At 38.1% G+C, this 18,957-nt stretch overlaps 1 protein-coding gene and 2 long non-coding RNA genes across 3 annotated transcripts in view, besides 3 other annotated features; 2 read left to right on the top strand and 1 right to left on the bottom strand.

The window, feature by feature from the left end:
- Positions 1 to 18,957, top strand: part of DNER (delta/notch like EGF repeat containing) — a 356,927-nt gene that overhangs the window by 301,836 nt on the left and 36,134 nt on the right. The window contains exon 10 of the mRNA NM_139072.4: positions 5,375 to 5,488. Within this exon, the coding sequence (NP_620711.3) occupies positions 5,375 to 5,488 (114 nt within the window). The remainder of the gene's footprint in view (positions 1 to 5,374; positions 5,489 to 18,957) is intronic.
- On the top strand, positions 1,470 to 5,363 carry LOC107985994 (uncharacterized). Its single transcript, XR_001739917.2, has 3 exons — positions 1,470 to 2,509; positions 2,945 to 3,187; positions 5,110 to 5,363. It is a non-coding gene; the product is annotated as an uncharacterized LOC107985994 (long non-coding RNA).
- Positions 3,676 to 4,696: an enhancer, noted in NCBI's record as "amplified fragment containing the chr2:230272729-230273771 (GRCh37) CAGE-defined region". NCBI's record gives its function as "transcribed enhancer in THP-1 monocytes {active_cell/tissue: THP-1}" and the evidence as "EXISTENCE:reporter gene assay evidence [ECO:0000049][PMID:24670763]".
- Positions 3,676 to 5,657: a biological region, named in NCBI's record as "BRD4-independent group 4 enhancer GRCh37_chr2:230271779-230272978".
- LOC124907995 (uncharacterized) lies at positions 4,388 to 5,370 on the bottom strand. The gene is made up of 2 exons (XR_007088116.1): positions 5,252 to 5,370; positions 4,388 to 4,804 (listed from the first exon to the last, which is right to left on the bottom strand). It is a non-coding gene; the product is annotated as an uncharacterized LOC124907995 (long non-coding RNA).
- Positions 4,458 to 5,657: an enhancer, noted in NCBI's record as "BRD4-independent group 4 enhancer chr2:230271779-230272978 (GRCh37/hg19 assembly coordinates)". NCBI's record gives its function as "activates an origin of replication core promoter dependent on BRD2, P300/CBP, MED14 and CDK7 cofactors, and independent of BRD4, by STARR-seq in HCT116 cells {active_cell/tissue: HCT116}" and the evidence as "EXISTENCE:reporter gene assay evidence [ECO:0000049][PMID:35650434]".

Raw genomic sequence — 18,957 nt, 5'->3', positions numbered from 1 at the left:
CTAAGTCTTGGTCTCCCAGATGCCATGAATGACGTGGGTCTCCAGGCCCCTTTCTCTCTCCCTCCTCTTTGCTTTCATCCACTCCTATGGCTGTATCCACTGTCTGAAATGTTGACCCCCAAAGAGATGTGGCTTCTTCCTCCTTTAACTCTCTATTTTCTTTCTATTTGCCATGACAATTATGTTTAGCCTTGTATTAAATTCTTTTTGGTTTCAGACTTTCTTCTTCCCTATACTAAATCATAAGCTCTGGAAAGACAGTGACTACATAGGCTCTTTTTCTTTTTAAATTCTCTACAGCTCTTACTATGGTGGCTCGCACAGAACAAATGCTCAATGGCTACCTTTACTTGAGTTAGAACTACTGTTTAACACATGAATTAAGTAAAGGAAACCAACTTAAACATTTTCATGGAATGTAAGTCTTCACTGTAGATTATGGAATTGTTAGAAAGCAAAATTCATGGAGGACCTCTGTGTAACCCGTCTTCAGACAAACCAAAATACTGCTGTGTCCTTCAAAACTAGTTCAAGCCTGGTTTGTGACGGAACGTCTAAGACTTTGTTAAGTGTTCATACCTCATATTGTCAAAAGGTTAAGGAACAGCCCCATAGTGATTGATTTTTATTTCTAGAAGATCCAATGAAATGATCAACAATATATATATTTGAAATTTTTGGTGATACAATTTAGAAAAAAAATTCGATTTTTAATTTTGAAAATAATATAACAATAATAAATATTTAGAAGAAAAGAGAAAATTCATAATTACTCATGTTTTTACAACATAACATGAGCCATAATAATCTGTGTTGCTTCCATTCTGATTTTAGTATCCATGTTTTTACTGTTCAATAATTGAGTATACCTACAATTTTATATTGTTCTGCTCACTCATAATAGGATATTATGTTTGATTTATGTATTGCTAGGAAGTCTTACTAGTTTTATTTTAAATGGCTTTGTAATGTTCCCATGAGAGAATACTTATCCATTGCTTTGTTGTTACATGTGATGTGGGGCTATTACAAATATTTCTGGAATTAATATCTTTACATTGTTTTCCTACTTTCCAGATTTCTTTCTAGGGATAGAGTCTCAGAAATGAGATCACTGGATTATAGATTTAATTACATTGTACATTGTACCTACTTTTTTTTTTGAAACAGAGTCTTGCTCTGTCACCCAGGCTGGAGTGCAATGGCGCTATCTTGGCTCACTGCAACTTCTGTCTCCCTGGTTCAAGCAATCCTCCTGTCTCGGCCTCCTGAGTAGCTGGGATTACAGGTGTGTGCCACCATGCCCGGCTAATTTTTGTATTTTTAGTAGAGACGGGGTTTCACCATGTTGGCCAGGCTGGTCTCGAACTCCTGACCTCAAGTGATCTGCCCGCGTTGGCCTCCCAAAGTGCTGGGATTACCGGCGTGAGCTACTCTGCCTGGCCTGTACCTACTTATTTATTTTTAAAGGCTACAGAAATTTTAATGGGAAGGAAGAGAACTCCTTCTTTGTTGGATAAAGTTATTGCCTTTGCTAGATTCCACTTAGCCAGGGAACAAGAATTTCTGGTTATTTTGTGCACCTAGTCCTTTCAAGTACTGTGATAAATACAAAAAGGATAAGTCAGAGTTTCTTCCTTCTTTGGGCTGTTATTTAACCAGACGAGCAGACTGAGTGACACACACAGGAATAATGAGGCTAAGGCTGAGATGTCAATTGTAATTTCTGAGATGGTTTAGAAAATGTTGAGATCTATAAAGATTGAAATACTGGAAAAAGTTTTCATAGAGGAAGTAAGTTTGGATGAAATGAGACGATGTCTTAAAGTAAATATTAAGTGTAATAACACTTCTTTACTGGCTTCGTTTCTTGGAGATAAAATATTGATTTTCATTTTTCAAATATTAATTGTAACTAAATTTGTTACAACAACAAAGACTTATAATTGGTGTACTGCTTTTTGAATTCTAGCTTATTTCAATTCTAAAATTAACTTCTGTAAAGAATGCTGTTGGAATCAAAGTCTTTTTAGAAACATTTCTTCTCCATCCCTTAATACGAAAAGTATGAATTTTTATTAGTTTTGACTGAATTACAGTTTATTTTTGCTTGAGACTAAACATCAGCTTTGTAATAGTACGTGCTGTGTCTTCTGCCAATGGGTGATGCATGTGTCATTCCACAGACTTAGTTTGAAGTGTGGACCTGGTTTTCTCTGACAAAATAGGGTGTTTTTGAGGCAGATTTGGAATTTGGAATCTCTCCTCTGGCAGCCTCACCTGTGTGTCAGCCAAAGTACACTGGCTGTCGCCCCTCTTGAAAGGATAGGATTCCGGTGTTAGGTCCATAATTTCTTCCACGCATTATGATACGGCCTCTGCTCTACAGGACTTCAGAGATTTGTGGGAGAATCAGACAGGAGAGCAGATAAGTTATGATTTGGCACAGTGAACTCCGTGACAATGACAGTCCCGGCATGCTCTCAAGGCACAGTGGTGGAAGAATGTGGTCTGTGTTGAGAAAATCAAGGTTCAGCTTTGCAGAGAGAGGGTGTTTGGATTGGGAATTGAGAGATTAGTTAAATATGCGAAGATCAGGTTGGGGGAAGGGTGTGAAAGAAGGTGACTCCTCAGAGGAAACAGGATGCCCAAGACTTGATGTTTTCTGGGAATGGGAGTGGTGAGGAGGGCAGGAAGAGGGGGCCTAGGGACCTCCAGAGGAGGAGGGTTTGAGTGGATACAACTTGGCACATCAGTAGTGTCCATGATTGTCTATTCTCCGTGTTTAAAGTTTTTAGCTCAGAGTTGTTCAGTTCTAATGACAAGCTGAGCAATATGACAAATATATTTTATATAGGGATTAGCAAGGTTTACGATATAGAAATGTGAGTCACCAAAGTGCTCTCCAGGGACTTTTAACACCATCTTGCTTGTCCGTAATCAGGTTTCTGTGAAGATTAGCTTTTGTCCAGTCTTGCTGCCAGAGAACTCTCAATAGATGCTCAAGGGACCAAATGTCTCACCATTTGAAAAAGAAAATTAACAAGGGAAAAAAGTATTGTCTCCCCGCCCTCCAAAAAAGAGCCATCTATCCAAACAAAAACCCCAAACACCCAAAAGATTGAAATTGCTTATTATCTTGGGTGTTTTCATCAAGTCTTATTTTGTTGAAGACTTTAAATAAAAGGTAAGATGCTTAAATATTTGGCCTAGAATTTGCTTTTCAGTCTGGTTTTTAAAATGTGGTAGTTTGGGTGCTAATATGTTAGTGATGTTAATGTATTACTAGAAACTCAGTGACAATCATTTGATTTCTTTGACTTCAGGTCTAATGGAAATGTTTTCTAGGCTTCAGGCACCTCTGAACTTTGGTGGTGGCCGTATTTCCCACTACAACCAAAAGTCTTTTTTGTCACTTGGCTCCCATTGATCAGCCCAGTGGGAACTTGTAAATATGTGAGTCTTTGTGTTGCAATAAACATTTTAAAGCAGAAAAGACTCTTCTGCTTTTTATTCTTTCAATTGAGCCCAGGCTACTTGTGTATCAGTAGGAAAGTAAAAATAAGAGACTCCTGGGAGAAGAGGCTGTACACACCCAAATGAAGAAGAATGACCAGATTTATGCTAATCTTAACATTATTTTGATCTTTTATGTTACCATGCAACCTGGGTTAGGGATGAAGGAAGTTGAGGAGGCTCGTTCAAGTCCCTGGAGACAGAGGAAACTAAGACATGGCTGCGGGATGCTGTATCCCACCAGGCACGAGGCAGTGGGATCACAGGGGTGGTCTCAGGAAGGAAAGAAAGGCAAAGATCTGAAAGACACTTCAGAAAAATACCTGACAGAATATTGTTGATGGCTTGGCTAGGAGGGGCAAAGGATGAAAAAGAATTACAGGTCATTTATTCTAAAATTTGAGCTTTACCTGGCTCAAATAAGTCATTAGTGTGAATATAGATAGGAAGTTCCATTTCTATTTTCTCTTACTTCCTTTCCTCCTTCCTGAGCCCTATTCTTAAGGCATTGAGAAATAAATAAGGGAAAAGCCCAGCAAGGATGATTTCAGTGCCTAAAGGATGAGTCATTGGGTGTGGCAGTCCCTTGCACAACATGAGCTAAGTAATGAAGTGCAGAGAAAATTAAGTAAATACCATTCAGTTACTATTTGCTTTATGCATATTTTTCTTGAGGCTGTTGGGAAGTGTGGGCATATCATTATGTACGTTCTTAGGCAAGGTAGAATGTAATTTATCTTTCTCTCCAAAGGGTGGGGATAGGGGAAGGGAGAGAGGGAGGAGGGGCAGGAGGAGGAGAGAGAGAGAGACACTAATCTATTCATCCATCTTGGCATCCAGTGTAACATCAGCAGATATCCCACCTTTCAAATAGCATTAGATTTTTAAAGTTTTTAATAAAATTATAAAAAAATAGATACTTGTAAAAAAGGTGCCAGTAATGTAGAAATACACAGATGTGAAAATCAAAGTAATCAAGTCTCCTGGAAGTAATCCAGTCCCACTTCAGGCATTTGCGTACATACATGCACACACAGTCTTTTTTTTTTAAAAAAAGTAAATGAGAAGCTGTCTGTTTTACTTTACAGATTTTTTAAAAAATGCCTCTTCTTTGTTAAACGAGTGCTGAGCTCCATAGAGTTTTGTATATTTCCACAGTCAATTCAGGGTCACTCTCAACAGCCTACTTAGCAAACACAGACTCTGGGATGGGATTACGGGCAGCTTCAAATCCCAGCTCCTTTCTTACCAGGCTTGTGATCTTCGACTCTTTCCTCAGTTTCCTCATCTGTAAAATGGAGGAATAAGGATAATTGTCTCATAGTGTTGTTGTGAGGAATAAATTAGACATAAAGCATGCAGTGATGTCTTTGAGAATGAAGTCTAAGTATCACACGGCTTCCCCTCTCCCCTGCAGTTCTTCAAAGTAGAACTGGGACTCACTTAAATATCTGATTCCAAATCTTCACTTTCAGGTTGCTAATATTATATTTTCTCAAGGCCATCTAGATATTTTCTGTTTCTTTTGGAGACTTATAAAGCATTTGCTATTGATTAATTTATCTTTCAGGCTTTTAACTTTCTGTTCCCCAGGCTTTGGGACACGTAGGCAGAGAAAGTACAGATAAAAGACTATGGTGGGACCTATGGACAGTGATCGAATGTGTTACTTTCTCATAAGGCAAGTTTTTACAACAATCTAAAATCATGAGTGGGCACGTGTGTATACACTCACCCACACACACCCACGCTGGGAATCTCCCTCGCATTGTTCCAGAGAGTTCCGACTTTGCTTTCAGAGGCCATGGGAGCCAGAGAGTCCTGGATGAGTCATCCTGTTTTGCTTGTTTCTCTGCAGGAACACACTGTGAATTGTACAAGGATCCCTGCGCTAACGTCAGCTGTCTGAACGGAGCCACCTGTGACAGCGACGGCCTGAATGGCACGTGCATCTGTGCACCCGGGTTTACAGGCAAGTGATTCCAGGGACTGAGTTTTCAAATTTACCACAAAGTGCCCGAGATTGCAGATGTTAAAAAAACCCAAATCCATCATGAATAAAATATTGCAAAATATAAACACCATTACAAAATGTAAGGAGGCATGGCTTGGATGAAGATCTATTTTAAAACAACCCATTGTGTGAGCCTCATTAAATGAGGCTTTTCTGAGATGGTTGTTTGGCGTCTAGACTTACAAAGACTATCATTACTGTACCTTTCCCAGGCTAGGACTATGAAACATGAGAAATGAGCCATTACATGAACACTTGAGAAAGGTGATGGGTTAATAAAAGTCAGAAGATGGAAAGAAGGAAGAGGTGTGTCTTCTGTAGATGCTGCTTTCAGCTGCCATATTTATTTTTATTGCAAGATATAAAAGTGTCAAGGGAGAGTGGGATGGGAGGCGAGATTGGCGGGGCAGGACTGGCTTCTCCAGAAATCTTGGTGGCCACTGAACACCGAACAGGAGGAGCCACTCCTAGATTGGGGGTTCCAGCCTAACTTGGGGTCCTTCTTCAAAGTCACCCCCTTATGAGCTTCAAGGACTTTGTGAATCTCAAAAACAGATGTGAAATGTGGTTTGTACGTGTATGTGCTGAGCGTAGCCTCTCAAATGTTTATCAGATTCTTTTGGAGACTTAGAAAACATTTGTTATTGATTAATTTATCTCTCAGGCTTTTAACTTTCTGTTCCCCAGGCTTTGGGACACGTAGGCAGATAAAGTACAGGTGAAAGAAACTAAACCACCGGAGACAAAATGTTCCATCCCCTGCTTTTCCAACAGAACCCAGGGATCTTGAAATGTAGAGAGTAAGACAAAGTCTATGTTTTTAGAGTTTTGCTCAACCAACAAAAGCTTAAGGGTCACTCTGGATTGCAAATTGGAAGAGGATGACATATCAAGTACCCACAGAAGAAGGTGGGCTCTGAAGCCAAAGAAAAACATATGTTATCATTGACTGGAGAGCATCTTGCTGTGTCCACCTCTCCCCTGCTAAGCCACTGTGGCCACCTCCCAAGCCCCGGAGAATTTCACAGAGCCTTGGTCCCTAAGCCATCCCAGGGGAGCCTCATCTGTGCTACTGGTGAAGGTGACAAAAGCCGAAGTGTAGGAAAAGCAACTTCTGATTTTCCTTCTATTTATCAGTGTCACAGCTTATGTTTTCCTTCTGGCTTTTCTTGGGACTGAGAAGTGGGCTCACTCCAAAAATGATTCGCAGATGGCTTTGTTTTGCTTATAAACACACGCAGACATTTATACTCACCAGTGGAGGCAAAAATAATATTAGGGGAAGCATCCCGGGTTTTTTTTCCCCAGATATTCTTATCCCATGAGTAAAAAAAGCATAGAAGGAAAATTAGAAAATATAGGACTATGGAAAAAAAATCCCACCACTGAAAATTGATCTGCTAGGAGGTAACTGTTATTAAGATTTTGATACATTCTGATATCCAGAAATTTTCCTGAAGGTCTGTGTGTGTGTAGTATATAGTGTATAGTGTATATGCATACATATTTGAATATAAAAGGAGTCATACCACTCATACTATTTTATAATTTACTTTTTACTTAAAAATATATGTATATCATAAATGTGTTTTTACATCAAGGAATAGCTTCTGTTTTATTTTTACTGGCTGCCCTATAGTCCATTATATGAAATATGATTTTTTAAAAGTTCCATCCACAATTCAACTTTTGGGCAGTTGAGAACTTTTCCCCATTATAAACAACATTACAAGGAATCTTCTTGTATTTACATCTTTGTGTACTTATCTTATTATTTTTAGTATAATTTTGCAGAAATAGAATCCCAGGGTACAGGAGAATACATACATATTTCGACATTACTCTCTAAGAGGAGAAAAAACAAACAAACATTGAACCGATATTTTCTCCTACCAAAAGTGCACAGGAGCATTTATTTCCTTGTCTTGACACAAATACTGAGAATTGTCATTCTAGTGGTCAAAAATATCATTTTAGTGTTGTTTAAATTTGTAGATCTTAGACTTATAGTAAGGTTGAATACTTCTTAAATATGTTTCTGGTTGTGTTTCTTCCTTTATGAACTCTCTATTCATATCCTTTGTCTGATTTTTTATGAGACCATTCATGCTAATCTTTACTCTTCTTTATTTGAAATAGCCCTTTATTTTAAGTATATAACAGTTTATCTGCCATAGGTTACACATATTTTTCCACTGTCATTTGCCTTTTAAATCTGGACAAAAGTATTTTGTTTTCCATATGTTATATTTTAGTCCATAATTACATATTGAGGTCTTGATTTCTTTTCGTGTTTCATGCTGAAAGATTCTATATATCAAGAGTTTAGAAATATTCTCCTCTATTATGCTAATCATGTATGAATTAATTTTATGCATTTAAGTCTCTAATGCATTTAAAATTTACTTCAGTATTTTATGAGAAAATGTCATGTTTTCTCCAGAATATTTAGCAAAACTCCAACTATCTACTCCACATATATCTTGAAAATCTCAGAGACACCCCAAACTCAGATCTTCTTCTCCTTTCCTTCTTTAAATATCTGCTAGCTCATCAAATGGCATTACCATCACTCCCAGTCATTCTGGCCAGAAACTGGGTAACCATTTTGATATCATCTGATATGGCTAAGCTTTGTGTTCCCACCCAAATCTCATCTTGAATTGGAATCCCCATAATCCCCACATGTCAAGGGAGAGGCCAGGTGGAGGTAATTGGATCGTGGGGGCAGTTTCCTTCATGCTGTTCTCATGATAGTGAGTGAGTACTCATGAGATCTGATGGTTTTATAAGTAGCTGGCATTTCCCCTGCTGGCTCTCATTCTGTCTCCTGCCGCCCTGTGAAGAGGTGCCTTCTGCCATGATTGTAAGTTTTCCGAGGCCTCCCCAGCCATGTAGAACTGTGAGTCAGTTAAACCTCTTTCCTTTCTAAATTACCCAGTCTTGGGTAGTATCTTCATAGCAGTGTGAGAACAGACTAATATACCTTCCTCTTTTTCCCTCTTACCTCCATCCAACTACCAAGGACTCCTAAAAACCTCTTAGATCTTTTCACTTCTTTGCAGAGTCAGCACCATGCTGCCTTCACCTCCAACCTACCTGCACCACTACAAGCCTTCCTATCTGGTCTCCTCACACCTATTCCTCCTGACTCCTAATCCATTTTTCATACTGCAGAGACCTTATGCATGATCATCTAATCTTATCACTCTTTACCTAAAACACCTATTGGCATTTTATTGTCCTTAGGAAAAAGATCAAAGTCCTTAACATAATCTTTAAGACCTGAGTGGTCTGGCCCCATCCAGCCTTTCCAGCCTTGTCCTGGGCCCCTCTGCTTGCTGCATAACTGAACATACCATGTCACGCTCTTCTCAGTAAGGTGCCTTTCCTCCATCTCTTGCCTCTCAGCCCCCCTCTGCTCATCCCTTTACCCCTACACCCACCATACCCATATATACCCCACCAGCAATCTCACCCTTAGGCATTTTTTCATGAGACCCACCCTGATCTCAGGGCGCAGTGGGACTCACTGAAGTAGGTTTAAACATCACTCTAACTGCTTTTTGAAAACAAGTGGTCTATTCTATTCAGCCCTGATAGTTTTTCAGCCTACAGAGGACCACAGAATAGTTCCTAAAGTCATTTAGGGGTTGTGCTGTTAATGCGTTTAACAGAAAACTGGTCCCAGGAGATGCTCCATGGAAAAAAGTGTTCTGTGGCCAAATAAATGTGGGACATGATACATCCCACGTGCAGATTCATAAAGGATGTCTGTGTGCTCAAGGTTCTCAGAGGTCTTAACAGTAAATTTATCTTTCAAATCTATTTGATCATAGAACCATTTTTTTCCTTAAAGAGAATCTATTGTTCCTGAGAACTAGTGTTCCACAGGAGAGGCTGATAAAATATTAACTGCTTCCATACAAGGAGTATGGTGCTTCTGCTCTTGAGGTTGAGCTACCTTGGAATCAAATACTCTTTCATTGTACCTGAGGTTTAGCAGAAGTTACACTTGGCCAGCTACTGAGTGTTCAAAAACTCTCTGCTTGACCGAGTGGAGTGAATCGGGCAAATCATTGCTATATAATTAGATACTCAATCCAATGTCATATTTACCATATTAAACTGGCTTTCTTAGGCCATCAGATAAAGTATAGGGTGTGGTATGTGGGGGACTCTGTCCTCTCTTGCTGAACCTAGGCTTCTGGCTGAAAATACGCTTCCTCCAGTCATCTGAACAGAGAGCCTCCCTGCTCTTCAAGCATTTCATTCCTTCTACACAGTTCTCTCCATAAGGCCCACTGTCCTGGCCTAGGTCCTGTCCACCCTTCAGTTACTGTCTTACTTTGGGACCACTCTTGTCACCGAAGCTTTGCAATTCTGCCCCCTTGGAATTATCTGGCTGAGGACCAGTGGATGGAAGGAAAGATACCCTGATGCAACATTAATTCTCTAGGATTTGCTTTATTTTTTTACCTGAAACCATAGACTGGACATAAGGTAACCGTACTTCAACAGGGAAGCCAAAGATTCTTCCAAGCCCATTGACATTGTCATTTGAACAGCTGGGACACAAGTGACCCATTCCTTTCTCACCAGAGCAGGAAATCCTTGTGCATTATTAAAGGTAGAATGATGTTACTATATCTTTCTCTCTGTCTTTTAACTCAACTATTTTTTGATATTTGTCTTTCAGTTCACAATAGAATATTACAATTTCTAGTTCAATTTTTATGGTAAAATACCATCAGTGCTTTAATTTCATTGACATTTTCATTGAATTTCTTTGATGCTCAGCATCTTTCATGTGGTTATTTGCTCTTCATATGTCTTTACTTGTGAATTATCTTTTCAAATAATCTGCCCATTTAAAAAATTTTGGTTGTTTGTCATACTATTGATTTCAAAGAATTCTTTACATATTCTGGATACAAGTTCTTTGTCAGGTATACATTTTGCTCATCCATGCATTTTTTTAATGGTATCTTTTGGGGAGTAAAGTTTTCAATTTTGGTAATTGGTCTAATTTATCAATTTTTTTTCTTTTATGGTTTGTGCTTTTCTGGTATTGTAAGAAATCTTTGTCTACTTCAAGATGGTGAAATTTTATCCGATGTTTTCTTCTAAAGTGTTTTTAAAATAGGTCTGCTTTTAAGTTTAGGTGTAGAGTCTGTTTTGAGTTAATTTTTGTTTACGGTGTGACTTAAGGATGGAAAATATTTTTCCCATGTAAACATCCAGTTAGTCCAGCATCTTATTGAAAATACAGTCTTTTCCCCATTGGATTTCATTGCTACATTTGTTAGAAAACAATTGATTATATATGGGTCTATTTTTCTCTGGCTAGTTTTTCAAAATTTTAGTTTGAGATTATTGAAGCTTTACCTGCAGTTGCAAGTAGTAATAGAGAGAGATCCAATGTAAGCTTCACCCAGTTTCCTCCAATGATAACATATTGTAAAACTACAGTACAATTTCATAACCAGGATACTGGTTACCCTTTTCCCTTGCGCCACAACTGTCTTTAATTCCTGGAAACCACTAGTGTATTTTGCATTTTTGTAATTTCAAGAATATTGCATAAATGGAATCATATAGTGTGTAGCCTTTTGAGATTGATTTTTTTTTCTACTCAGCGTGATTCTTTGGAGATGCATCCAGGTTATTTTGGGTCAATAATTTCTCCCTTTTTATTGCTGAGCAGTATTCCAAAGTATGGATGTCCCAGAGTTTGTTTAACCAGTCCCCTGTTGAAAGGAATCTGGATTGTTTTCAGTTTTCAGCTATTATAAAAAAGGTGGTGTAAACTGTCATATATAGGTTTATGTGTGAACATAAATTTTCATTTTTCCGGGACAATTGCCCAGAAATTCAATTGCTGGGTCATATGGTAGTTGCATGCTTAGTTTTATAAAAAGAGCCAAAATGTTTCCAGAGTGGCTTATGCATTTTATATTCCCCACCAACGATGTCTGAGTGATTCAGTTTCTCTACATCCTTGCCAGCATTTGGTGTTATCACTATTTTTTATTTGGGCCATTCTGATAGGGGTAAAATGATAGCTCATTGGGGTTTCAGTTTGAATTCCCCTAATGATAAATGATGTTTAGCATCTTTTCCTGTGCTTATTTGATATCTGCATATCCTGTGAAGAAATGTTTCTTTCTGTCTTTTGTCCATTTTCTAATCCTATCACATCACATCAAGGCTACATACTGTCAATGAGATTTATGATCATTGACGTTGATGTTGATCACTTAGCTGAGGTAGTGTTTGTCAAGTTTCTCTACTATAATGTTACTCCTTCTCTCCCTTTCCATACTTAACAATTTGGGAGGAAGTGACTTCCTTCCAAAGAAAGTGTTGTGTAGTCCACACTTATCAAGAAGGGAGTTATGCTCTTGCTCTTTAAGGGTAAAGTAGCTACATGAATTATTTGGAATTCTTCTGGATGAAAGATTTGTTTATTCTCCTCCATTTGTGTATTTATTTAATCATTTATTTATGGGTTCATGGATATTTATTTTATACTTTAGGTTATAATCCAATACTTTGGCCATTGGGAGTTCTTTCAGTTGGCTCCTATTACCTCTTTGCCACATCCCCATTAATGTGGTTAATTTTTTGTTTTGTGGCTAATTTTTTGTTTTGTTTTTTAAAACATATATACGTTCTGGCACTGCAAGATGCTTCAGCCTCATCTTGTGTATTTCCTGCTCCAGTTCTAGAGTCATTCATTTCTCTAAGGATCTCTGGTTTTTTTAATTGGAGAATAGTATTAAAAACAAGATTTGGGTGCTAAGCTGTGCTTGTTTTTACTGGGATATCATTGCTTTTAGGTCCTCTCAGCTGACAAAGTGAGGAAGTGCATGTGTATACTAACCCATGGACATGTGCTTATCCATAAATATTGCATGATGTAGTTATCTTTGTCTATATTAAGCTAAACATGAATTCACAGTGATGTCTCCAACTCTAGTTTGTTACAGCATGAATGGTTCTAGCCTTCTCCCCTTGCTTATTTGTAAACCCTTCACACCAACAACCAAATACTGCCTTTCATCATCCATCATTTATTTACTTAATTGTTCAATTTCAGTATCCAGGTATAGCAGTATCAGAATTGTTAACTTATACCCTTGTGGAAAACAACTTTATGAACTAGAGTATTGTGTTTATGTACCACTTATTTTGCATTTAGTCTTATCAATCCTACCCATTTCCAAAGTCACTTAGGTCAGCTCCCCCCCAGACCCCTTTGTGAGGTTGTTCCATACAGTTGTAATATAGTTAGAATCTTTTCTCACAGTTTGCATTCTTTCCTGAATCTTCTAACTAGAGGAGGCTCTTTTATTTACATTTGCTTATGTAAGTATAATTTTTCAAGCATCATTAGCTGAAAGGGCTATCTTTTCTTCATTGAATTGCTTTTGAACTTTCGTCAAAAATCAGCTGGCCATATTATGTGGGTCTATTTTGGGCTCTTCTTTTTCATTGATTATGTGTCTATTCCTCTACCTTTATTATGTCATAACAACTGTAGTTTCATAATAACTATTGAAATTGGGCAGAATAATTCCTACCACCTTATTTTTTTTCCAAAACTGTTATAACTATTCTAGATCCTTAGCCTTTTCATATAAATTTTACAATAATCTTGTCTATACCTACAAAAGATTTTGCTGAGGAATTACAATAAACCAGTATATCAATTTGGGGAAGAATCAATATCTTTACTATTTGGAGTTTTCCAATTCATGAACACAGTGTGACTCTCCACTTATTTAGATCTTTGATTTCTTTCATCAACATTTTTTCCCTGTACATGTATATCCAAGTATCCAAGTAGGTATGTATATATGCATGTGTGTGTGTGTGTGTGTATGGTGTATTTTTAGTGATTGTAAATAGAATTGTTCTTGCTAGTATATAGAAATATAATTGATTTTTGTATGTTTAAATTGTATCCTGTGACCTTGCTGAACTTACTAGTTTTAGGATTTTTTTTTTTTGTAGATTTCTTGGGATTTTCTACATAAATAATGATGCCATCTGAAAAGAGCGGCAGTTTTATTTCTTCCTTTCTGATAGGTATAAATTTTATTTTTTGTCTTGTCTCACTAGCCAGAACTTCTAACACTAGGTTCAGTAAGAGCAGACATCTTTGCTTTGTTTTCAACATTAGGGGAAAAGCATTCAGTCTTTCACCATTAATGATAATGTCAGCTGTAGTGTTTTTTTTTAGATGCTGTTTATCAAATTGAGGAAGTTCCTCTCTATTCCTAGTTTGCTGATAACTTTAACCATAAATTGGTATTGAATTTTGTCAATGGATTGATATGATCATGTGATTTTTTTCTTTGGCTTGTTAATATGCTTGGTTGATTTTCAAATATTGAATTAGTCTTGCATGCCTGGAATATACCACCTGGTCATAGTGTATAACTCATTTTATATAATACTTTGCTAAATTCTATTTCCTAATATTTTGTTCAGAATTTTTGTATCTATAGTCATGAGAAACAAGTTGTTTCTCAAGTTGTTGTTTTAAAAAAGAAAGAAAACAATTTTGTGTTTTGTGAGAAACAAGTATTTAATATGAACGTAGACACAAAATAGTTTTGTTTCTCTTTTTAAAAAAGTTATTATGTATTTGTCTAGTTTTGGTATTGAAGTAAAACTAGCTTCTTGGAATAAGTTGCGAAGTGTTCTTTTGTATTCCGTTTTCTGCAACCGATTGTATCAATTTGCTATTAATTCTTCTTTAAATAGTTGATAGAATTTACCAGTGAAAGCATTTGGACCTGAGATTTCTTTTTGGGGAGTTTTAAAGTTTAAAGTCTCAATAGTTATAAAAGTATTTAAATCATCTATTTTATATTTGATGAGTTGTGATTTTTTTTTGAGGAAGTAGTGCATTTTTTAAGTTGTTAAATTTACCTGTGGAGTTGTAATATAGTATTTCTGTTATCCTTTTGACATCTGCAGTCTTTGGTGATATTTTCTGCTTTATTTATGATATGGCTAATTTGTGTCTTTCTCTTTTTTCCTTTGTCAATCTTGCTAGAGTTTTGTCAATTTTGTTAATCTTTTTAATAAATAGCTTTTTGTTGCATTCATTTTCTCTATTGTTTTTGTTTTCAGTTTCATTGATTTCTTCTCTTATGTCTATGATTTTCTTCTTTTTGCTTTGGGCTTAATTTGCTTTTGTTATTTCTTTCTAGGTTTTTTGGGTAAGATCTTAGAGTATTGATATAGGCTTTTTCTCACAGCTAATGCATGCATTTTAGTGCTATAAATTTCCCCCTCAGTACTGCTTTGGCTGTATCTCACAAAGTTTATGTTGTATTTTCATTTTCAGTCAATTTAATTTTTATTTTTAATGTCCCTTTAGATTTCCTCTTTGATCCATAGATTACTTATGAGCATGTTGTTTATTTTTCAAGTGTTTTGAGGTTTTCCTGTTACTTTTTATCATAGATATCTAGTTTGATTTAATTACGGTGAGAGAACACTCTACGATTTCAACTCTCCTAAATTTGTTGAGGTTGTTTCATAGCCCAGAATATGGTTTATATTGGTATATGTTTTGTGAGTACTTGAAAAGATTGTGCATTCTGTTATTGTTTGGTGGCTGAGGTGCTTTGGAGGGTGGAAGTCCATGCTCTCCACTCGGCCTTTGGTGGCATGGGTGAGGGGACTTGCAGTTTTTTTTTTTTTTTTGTAGTGTTTGGCTGGAGTGGAGCAGTTATTAGCTATAATTTTTTGTCTTGTTAGGCTGCCCCTATCTTGGTTCTTTGGTTACAGAGAACAGGCTTTCGTGGGAGTTTTGTTTTCTGCATCTTTTGACATTTCCGGGTTGCTGCCTTCTCCAGCACCTAATCTGGAATATATGAGGTCAAAAGAAAACTCAGAGAGCTCACAATCATGTTGTTCCTTGGGTCCTGAGATTACTAGCCAGTCTGTCTCTTTCTCTCAACTTCTTGGAATTTTCTTATGTTTATTTTATGTACAATGTCTAGGGTTTTTACTTGTACTTGGTGGGAGGGATAGGGAAAATATATCTGCTCCATCTTTCCAAAAGCAGAACTCTCACTCTGGCTGTTTTTAGAAGTTTTCCTTTATTACTAGGTTTTAGCAAATTGATTGTGATGTATCTGTTTGTTCCACGGTGGGCAGGTCTATGCAAACCCACCCCCAAAGTCTGAGGAAGGTAATAATACCTACCTACAAAATGGCACAATTCCTTCACACTAGACCTTCTGATTTCAGTAGTTACTTGGTTTTGCCCTTCCCTCACATTGACTACCCTCTTGGTAACCAGAGTCTCAGAGGTACTTTTTGTTGCCCTGGCATAATTTTCCCCTTTGTGGGTTGCTTTGAGGCTAGTGACCTATGCTCAGACAGACCCACATCTGAGGTTGGTTCAGCCTCAAGGCCCAACCATCACTCTCTTGTACTTTTATTTTAGCTATGACAGATAACAATTACCAAGGGGTTTAATATTTCACTTTTTCCTTATTAGTTTGCATTTTCTTACACATCCAGTGAACCATCTCCCCCAGAGTTAAATTCCTAAGTTCCATTGGTAACTTTTACCTTTAGCAACTGAGTACAGCACAGATGGGCTCCATACCTTAGGTGGTGACCATGTGACCACTGTGGAATCAAAAATTCCTCATTCCCCACCCTTTTATTCTTTCTGTTTCTGTCCACTTAGTTTTACCTATATCATTTTTTTCCTTCACTTTGAAACAAACTTTAAATAGCCTCTAAACTAGGTGATATTACTTTTCCATATTAACTAGTATTTTAACTCTTTAACTCTTAAATTACTGAAAAAATCTTGAAACTAGTTTTAGTTACCAAAGATTACTAAAGTCGTGTAAACTAAAAGGCATTTGAGTTGGTTTCTATCTTCCTGGTAAAATATTTGTCTGAAGCACTTACTTTTCTTTAAGCTAAGTAATTAGAGCTCTTTTATATATTTTGGTAGGGATATATCACCCATGACACATATAAAATATAGACATACAGACACACAGAAGCAGATCTTATAGATTTATAAGATTTTTTATTTGCCAGTTTTCAGTTTCTTTTCCCCCTTTAGACTGTCAATCCAAAGACATGACTCTTAGGTGAAACAAGGTAGGAAATTTACATCTCAAAGGCAGAGAACTTAGGCTGCCATTGTTATCTGAAAACAAGATTGCCAGGAAAAGTGTCTTCTTTTTCACTTAGTTTATTTCTTATCTAGATTATTGGCTTTAGGGTGGAAGCTTTTTTTTTGAGACAGAGTCTTGCTCTGTCACCCAGGCTGGAGTGCAATGGCGCCATCTCCGCTCACTGCAACCTCCGCCTCTCCGGTTCAAGTGATTCTCCTGCCTCAGCCTCCCAAGTAACTGGGATTACAGGTGTGCCACCACGCCCAGCTAATTTTTTGTAGTTTTAGTAGAGATGGGGTTTTACCATGTTGGCCAGGGTAGTCTCGAACTCCTTACCTCAGGTGATCCGCCCTCCTCAGCCTCCCAAAGTGCTGGGATTACAGGCATGAGCCACTGCACCAGGCCCAGGATGGAGCCCTTTAAAGCATGCAGTTTGTAGGGCTGAACACTTGAGCAGGTACAGCAAAAAGGCAGAATATTTAGATCCCTCAAAACCAAGGATCCCATTTTACACTGAATCCTGGGTCCCCCAAAAGAGGGAAACACTACAGGATTGGACAGTGCAATGCTTCCACGGTGCACGTCACTGCAAGGACATTCCCCTGAGGCTGATGGGCAACTCAACGCTGATCAGCCCACTCTGTGATCAGCCCATCCCCCAAAGGGTGTTTTATCCCATAGTAGGGCATGTTTCTGTAGCCTTTAGGTATCCAAACCACAGTTTTCTTATGTAAATTCCCAAAGAAATGAGTATCCCCTTGTAGTAATAATCATTTTCGGCCAAGTGCCATCAACCACCTCTAAGACTGTATCTCTCACCTGCCAGTTATTACACACAGCAAAGGCAAGTCCTCTCATGGTACAAAGTAATCTCTGGCACCCCCAAAAACCAAACAGATCAGGTAACGCAACACAAAAGAGAGTCATGTTTTGGACCCAAGAGGAATCTGTCTGCTTATAACTCTTACGGTTCCATAAAGAAAAATAGAGGTACCTCCCACAAAGAGGAGTATTTTCTGTCTCCAAGGGATCCCAGACTGTCAGAAGTTCCTTTTTGTAGGTCCCTCATGTGGCATCGAGGGTGGCAAGAGGAAGGAGGGACAGACAGATGTAAATGGAGAAAACAGAATTCATTTGACTGAGAAGTTTTACGGAGAGAGAACAGAGACCTTAAAACAATACAGATGTATGTTTGACAATAGAGCTCTTTAGAAAATCTTGTCTAATTTTAATTCCCCCTCAAGCCATTTTACTTTGCTTTTGCTGCTAGATGGGCTCCCGTCCTCAATGGCCACAGAAGTGGCCATGTTAGAGCAGTGGCTGCTCGCCATCCTTCCTTACTGCAGTGCGACAGATGGCTCCCACTTAAAAGTCACTCTAAAGACGCTGGCATTTTTGGGGTGTCCCTGTACCCACACACAAGCGTCTAAAAGGTGAGCCACACCACTCCACATAGAAGTGGCTGCCACCTGGGATTACCCACACAGACGCTTCATTCCCTTTACCCATTTCTTGGTCTCTCAGCTCCTGCAGGCCTCTGCAAACCTGCCCCCAAAGTCTGAGGAAGCTGAGAGGCTGAAGAAAGAGGCTGACATATCCAGTTTATCAGAAAGAAATGTTTAATAGGGACTTACGAAGAGAAGCCTGTCTGTGTCTTGGGCAGTGGGGAAACAAGATGGCGGATCCCCACACCCACACCATTACCCTTCGGACCCAAGGCTTATGATCCACAGAGGGAGAGGTGGTTCAGAAGGGATGTGCAGGACAATCGAAGTACAATAACATCAAGGTTGTTTTGACCGAAGGGCAGGATTTATGGTAAGTATCTGTTCTTGTACAAGGAACAGTACATAAACTGGAATCCTTAGAGGCATTCCTGGAACTGGGGTTAATCAGTATCCAAGATGCAGTTGCTTTCGCTTCTGCACTATGATGTGTGTGTGTGTGGTTTTCTTGTGTTTATCCTGCTTGGGGTTTGTTGCACATCTTGAATCTGTGGTTACAGTTTTCATCAAACTTGGAAATTTTTAGCCATTAATTTATTAAATATTATTTTTGGCCTCATATCCTTTCTCTAGGATTCTGAGTACATCTATGTTAGACTGCTTAAAATTGTCCAATGGGTCAGAGTCTCTGCTTAGTTTTTGTTTTTGTTTTTGTTTTTGTTTTTGTTTTGAGACGGAGTCTCGCTCTGTTGCCCAGGCTGGAGTGCAGTGGCATGAACCCGGCTCACTGCAAGCTCCAACTCCCAGGTTCACG

This window comes from Homo sapiens, chromosome 2 (genome assembly GCF_000001405.40).
Source record: "Homo sapiens chromosome 2, GRCh38.p14 Primary Assembly".
In the NCBI taxonomy this organism is placed as follows: Eukaryota; Metazoa; Chordata; class Mammalia; order Primates; family Hominidae; genus Homo; species Homo sapiens.
The sequence above is the reverse complement of the archived record's forward strand: the minus strand, read 5'-3'. Positions and strand labels throughout refer to the sequence as shown.